This window comes from Homo sapiens, chromosome 20 (genome assembly GCF_000001405.40).
Source record: "Homo sapiens chromosome 20, GRCh38.p14 Primary Assembly".
NCBI lineage: Eukaryota > Metazoa > Chordata > Mammalia > Primates > Hominidae > Homo > Homo sapiens.
The window spans coordinates 12,342,215-12,349,215 of record NC_000020.11 but is presented as its reverse complement, the minus strand read 5'-3'; the positions used below and the strand labels follow the sequence as shown (position 1 = coordinate 12,349,215).

Sequence of the window (7,001 nt, the reverse complement as noted above, 5' to 3'; positions counted from 1 at the left end):
TTACTGCTGCCAGATTTCTGAACTTTCAAGAGAAGCTGGCATTTGAGATTTGTATGCAATATTTTCTAATTTATAATTAAATGTTTAAATTAAAAAGACATTTTGAAGTTAGCGATCAGGTTTAGCCTTTCGTTATACCCTTTTGCAAAGAAGAGTTGTAGATTGAATGATCACTGCAGTTGATGAGGCATTTCTCATTGCCTACTGCAGAAATGATTTTCCTATCTACCATTGTCCATGTATCATATTGAAGATGTTTGTCGTTACTTGACCTGAAAGCTAATATTAAACACGTGGCTTAAAAGAGACATGCTAAATCAACACAGAGCCTAGAAAAAAGGAGATACGAAAAGCCAGAGCCAGCTGATGAGAGAGGGGCATGGAAGCCATGCTAGGCTATTGTAAGCTCAATCCTCATAAGTTCTTGGTTGCAAAAGAAACTCTGTAGCAAAAGACAAATTATCAAGAGAAAAGCAAATAGATGCTTATTAACATGTATATTAACATGTATAGGCGTATAAGAGGTATCCAGAGAAGAAGTAATTCTCGAAGAGGTGGCTTTGACTTCCAGCTGATATACCATCTTTGACAATGAACAGTACATTTTTAGAGAGGTGACAAGTAAAAGGAAAAGGACCTTGAGTCTCTAAGGGCAACAACTTATGGGAAGGCAAATAATGGCAGCTAAATGCTGGTCAGTAAGGTTTATTTATGTAGATGCTTTTGGTGCCAACTCCACACGCATAAGGGTCTACAGTTGTCTTAAGCAGTTAACTTTTGCTCTCCCTCGTAGAAAAGGGAGGTGGGGTATCTTTTTTCTTTGTAAGTTTATGTCCTGATATTATGCAAATAGAGGGTAGACAGAGAACTTTCCTACAAGTGCTTCTTATTTGCTTTCAGATTGGCAATCCTCATGGTAAAGGGTATATTTTGGGGTGGCACATTCAGGTCTCCCACACTCCAAACAGGACAAAAAAGTTGAAAGAAGGAATTATAGAAATAGTGGGCAAAACAAAGCAGAAATGAAGAAATAGGAGCCCCGGCAGGGAAGATTGTCAATCCCAGCAGTTTTCTAGTTCTTGGATTATTTTCCACTGAAGCTAGGGTATATTTCCTGCACTGAGGTTTTATTATTTCCATGCCCTTTAGTAATGTTCCACTTCAATACAACAAAAGATATATAAGATGTGGGAAAAAGATATAAGGCAAACATTAAACAAAATAAATCTAAAATAATTAGACTAAAATGAGTCAAAAAGATAGCAATCAAGGTTAAAGTTAGAGAGGTTCTTTGTATAATGATACCAATTTTTTAAACAAGAAAATATAAAATTCTAAATACTAATTCCTCAATTAAAATACTGATTGAAGCTGAAGTTTTGTTTTGGTCGAGATCTTGGTGCAGAAGAGTGGATCAGATGTTCATTTAGCTTGTGAGGAAAAAGTGGGAGACTGAGGTTCAGCTAGGCTGACTTTGGCTTCTCTATTTACTTGTAAACATTCATTACAATGTGACATGTTGCAGTTTCTGGTTGCACTGATTTATGAATTATATTCTCTGAAAAAGTCAAAGCATCATATTCACAAAACTTTGTAACGAATGAGAGGTAACATGGTACCTAATAATACAGCTTCAAAATGTATAAAACTCAATATAATAGAAGTAAATGAAAAAAATAGACTAATACACACTACTTGCAGAAGATTTTATTACAATTCTGTAGTATATAATTAAATAAGTGGACAAATTTAGGAAGTCTATAGCAAAAGTAAATGATATGAATAATAAATTTGACCTAATTGGCATTTTTACAATATTGTATCTAACATCACCTTAATATTATTTTTAAATGTATAAAAAACATTTACCAAAGTTGATGATATGCTTGACAAGTCTAAACAAATTTAATTCACAGGATTGAAATTTTACAATCCTGTGAAATTCACAGCATTGAGTATGTTTTTTAGTCAGAGTAGAATTCAGCTCAAAATCAATAACCAAAAAAAAAAAAAGACAAGAAAAGAAAATTTGTGTGTGTGTGAAAATTTCTATACTTTTAAATTACCCATGGGTAAATGAAAACAGGAAGTAGTTTGAAATGAATAATAATGAAAATGAGAAAAATCAAAATGTATGGAATATAACTCAGTCGATGATTACAGGGAACTTGATAGCCACATGTCCACAGAAGAGAAGAAAAAACTGAAAATTAATGATCAGGTATTCATCTCCATCAGTTAGAAAATAATAGCAAATTAAGTAAAAAAAATGGAAGATGATAATAAAGATTGGGGACAAAATTAATGAAATGAAAAGTAAATATAAGATCCAGAAGATGAACACAGCCAAAAGTTGCTTTTTTGGAAAAGCTGATGAAATTACTTAAACCTCTGGCAAGACACATCAAGAAACAAAGAGGCATAAAGCACCAACATGCAGGATGAAAACCATGGTCAGTAAATGCAAATGAACATTAGGAGAATATTATGAAAAACTTTCTGGAAAAAAAAAGAAACAATTGATAAACTCCTGAAAAAATAAATCTTACCAAATCTGATACAAGAAAAAAATAGAAAATTTAATGATTATGATAGTTATCTAAAAGTTATCCATGAAAGAATCTTTTCACATATACACACAAACAAATCAAAAAATGAAAAACTTTAGACTTCAAATTGCTTCACTTGTGATTTCTACCAAATGTTTAAGAAAAAAATAAGACCGATCTTACAAAAGTTATTCGAGATAATAGAAAAAGAGAAAACTCACTGGGCCTCTTTTTATACAGCCAGTATAATCTTGATACTAACACCTAATGAGGACGTTAAAAGAGAAGAAAATTATAGGTCCATTTTTCTCAGGAACATTGATGCAAACCAAAGCAAAATAATAATCAAAGCCCTGAAATTACAGTAGTAGAATAAAGGGACAGCCTGACAAAGTAGAGGTGGCTCTAAGAATTCATGAGTGGTATAAATTCAAAGCTCAATGTGATTCACCACAAAGAATAAAGACTAGATCATCTCTAAAGATGCTGACACAGCATTTAATAAAACTCAATATTCACAATAAAAACTCATAGCTGCTGGGCACAGTGGCTCATGCCTGTAATCTCAGCACTTTGAGAGACTGAGGAGGGAGGATCACTTGAGGCCAGGAGTTCGAGACCAGTATGGGCAACATAGCAAGACCCCATCGCTATAAAACATAAAAAAAAATAGCAAGGCATGGTGGCACACGCCTATAGTCCCAGCCACATGGGATGCTGAGGTAAGTGTCAGGCCTCTGAGCCCAAGCCAAGCCATCGCATCCCCTGTGACTTGCACGTATACGCCCAGATGGCCTGATGTAACTGAAGAATCACAAAAGAAGTGAAAAGGCCCTGCCCCGCCTCAACTGATGACATTCCACCATGGTGATTTGTTCCTGCCCCACCTTAACTGAGTGATTAACCCTGCGAATTTCCTTCTCCTGGCTCAGAAGCTCCCCAACTGAGCACCTTGTGACCCCCGCCCCTGCCCACCAGAGAACAACCCCCTTTGACTGTAATTTTCCATTACCTTCCCAAATCCTATAAAATGGCCCCACCCCTATCTCCCTTTGCTGACTCTCTTTTTGGACTCAGCCCGCCTGCACCCAGGTGAAATAAACAGCCATGTTGCTCACACAAAGCCTGTTTGGTGGTCTCTTCACACGGACGTGTATGAAATTTGGTGCCGTGACTCGGATCAGGGGACCTCCCTTGGGAGATCAATCCCCCATCCTCCTGCTCTTTGCTCCGTGAGAAAGATCCACCTACGACCTCAGGTCCTGAGACTGACCAGCCCAAGAAACATCTCACCAATTTCAAATCCGGTAAGCGGCCTCTTTTTACTCTCTTCTCCAACCTCCCTCACTATCCCTCAACCTCTTTCTCCTTTCAATCTTGGCGCCACACTTCAATCTCTCCCTTAATTTCAATTCCTTTCATTTTCTGGTAGAGACAAAGGAGACACGTTTTGTCCGTGGACCCAAAACTCCGGTGCCAGTTACGGACTGGGAAGGCAGCCTTCCCTTGGTGTTTAATCATTGCAGGGATGCCTCTCTGATAATTCACCCACATTTCAAAGGTGTCAGACCACGCAGGGACGCCTGCCTTGGTCCTTCACCCTTAGCGGCAAGTCCCACTTTTCTGGGGGAGTGGCAAGTACCCCTCAACCCCTTCTCCTTCACCCTTAGTGGCAAGTCCTGCTTTTCTAGGGGGCAAGAACCCCCAATCCCTTATTTCCACACCCGAACCTCATATCTCTGTGCCCCAATCCCTTATTTCCATGCCCCGACCCCTTACTTCTGTGCCCCATCCCTTATTTCTGCCCCCCGACCTCTTATCTCTGCACCCCAACCCCTTTTCCCACTTTTCTGGAAGGTAAGAACCCCCGAACCCCTTCCCTCCGTTTCTATACTCTCTCTTTTCTCTAGGCTTGCTTCCTTCACTATAGGCAACCTTCCACCCTCCATTCCTCCTTCTACTCCCTTGGCCTGTGTTCTCAAAAACTTAAAACCTCTTCAACTCACACCTGACCTAAAACCTAAATGCCTTATTTTCTTCTGCAATGCTGCTTGACCCCAATACAAACTCGACAGTAGTTCCAAATAGCCAGAAAATGGCACTTTGAATTTTTCCATCCTGCAAGATCTAAATAATTCTTGTCGTAAAATAGGCAAACGGTCTGAGGTGCCTGACGTCCAGGCATTCTTTTACACATGAGTCCCTTCCTAGTCTCTGTGTCCAGTGCAACTCATCCCAAATCTTCCTTCTTTCCCTCCCACCTGTCCCCTCAGTACCAACCCCAAGCGTCACTGAGTCTTTCTAATCTTCCTTTTCTACAGACCCGTCTGACCTCTCCCCTCTTGGCCAGGCCGAGCTAGGTCCCAATTCTTCCTCAGCCTCTCCTCCTCCACCCTATAATCTTTTTATCACCTCCCCTCCTCACAACCCTGGTCCAGCTTACAGTTTCATTCCGTGACTAGCCCTCCCCCACCTGCCCAGCAATTTACTCTTAAAAAGGTGGCTGGAGCCAAAGGCATAGTCAAGGTTAATGCTCCTTTTTCTTTATCCCAAATCAGATAGCGTTTAGGCTCTTTTTCATCAAATATAAAAATCCAGCCCAGTTCATGACTTGTTTGGCAGCAACCCTGAGACACTTTACAGCCCTAGACCCTAAAAAGTCAAAAGGCTGTCTTATTCTCAAAATACATTTTATTACCCAATCTGCTCCTGACATTAAATAAAACTCCAAAAATTAAATTCCGGCCCTCAAACCCCACAACAGGATTTAATTAACCTCGCCTTCAAGGTGTACAATAATAGAAAAAAGTTGCAATTCCTTGCCTCCACTGTGAGACAAACCCCAGCCACATCTCTAGCACACAAGAACTTCCAAACACCTGAACCGCAGTGGCCAGGCGTTCCTCCAGAACCTCCTCCCACAGGAGCTTGCTACACATGCCAGAAATCTGGCCATTGGGCCAAGGAATGCCAGCAGCCCAGGATTCCTCCTAAGCCGCGTCCCATCTGTGTCGGACCCCACTGAAAATCGGACTGTTCAACTCACCTGGCAGCCACTCCCAGAGCCCCTGGAACTCTGGCCCAAGGCTCTCTGACTGACTCCTTCCCAGATCTTCTCAGCTTAGCGGCTGAAGACTGACACTGCCCGATCGCCTCGGAAGCCCACTAGACCATCACGGACGCCGAGCTTCGGGTAACTCTCACAGTGGAAGGTAAGCCCGTCCCCTTCTTAATCAATACGGAGGCTACACACTCCACATTACCTTCTTTTCAAGGACCTGTTTCCCTTGCCTCCATAACTGTTGTGGGTATTGACGGCAAGGCTTCTAAACCTCTTAAAACTCCCCAACTCTGGTGCCAACTTAGACAATACTCTTTTAAGCACTCCTTTTTAGTTATCCCCACCTGCCCAGTTCCCTTATTAGGCTGAGACACTTTAACTAAATTATCTGCTTCCCTGACTATTCCTGGACTACAGCTATATCTCATTGCTGCCCTTCTTCCCAATCCAAAGCCTCCTTTGCATCCTCCTCTTGTAACACCCCACCTTAACCCACAAGTATAGGATACCTCTACTCCCTCCTTGGCAACCGATCATGCACCCCTTACCATCTCATTAAAACCTAATCACCCTTACCCCCCAATGCCAATATCCCATCCCGTAGCACGCTTTAAAAAGATTAAAGCCTGTTATCACTCGCCTGCTACAGCATGGCCTTTTAAAGCCTATAAACTCTCCTTACAATTCCCCCATTTTACCTGTCCTAAAACCAGACAAGCCTTACAAGTTAGTTCAGGATCTGCGCCTTATCGACCAAATTGTTTTGCCTATCCACCCCGTGGTGCCAAACCCATATACTCTCCTATCCTCAATACCTGCCTCTATAACCCATTATTCTGTTCTAGATCTCAAACATGCTTTCTTTACTATTCCTTTGCACCCTTAATCCCAGCCTCTCTTCACTTTCACTTGGACTGACCCTGACACCCATCAAGCTCAGCAAATTACCTAGGCTGTACTGCCACAAAGCTTCACAGACAGCCCCCATTACTTCAATCAAGCCCAAATTTCTTCCTCATCTGTTACCTATCTCGGCATAATTCTCATAAAAACACACGTGCTCTCCCTGCCAATCGTGTCTGACTGATCTCTCAAACCCCAGTACCTTCTATAAAACAACAACTCCTTTCCTTCCTAGGCATGGTTAGCGTGGTCAGAATTCTTACACAAGAGCCAGGACCACACCCTGTAGCCTTTCTGTCCAAACAACTTGACCTTACTGTTTTAGCCTAGCCCTCATGTCTGCGTGCAGTGGCTGCCACTGCATTAATACTTTTAGAGGCCCTCAAAATCACAAACTATGCTCAACTCACTCTCTACAGTTCTCATAACTTCCAAAATCTATTTTCTCCTCATACCTGATGCATGTACTTTCTGCTTCCCGGCTCCTT

At 41.4% G+C, this 7,001-nt stretch overlaps 1 annotated feature.

Annotated features, from left to right (window-relative positions):
* Positions 3,132-3,633: an enhancer, noted in NCBI's record as "NANOG hESC enhancer chr20:12326231-12326732 (GRCh37/hg19 assembly coordinates)". NCBI's record gives its function as "activates a minimal SCP1, AML or CMV promoter by ChIP-STARR-seq in primed H9 embryonic stem cells {active_cell/tissue: H9 hESC(primed)}" and the evidence as "EXISTENCE:reporter gene assay evidence [ECO:0000049][PMID:30033119]".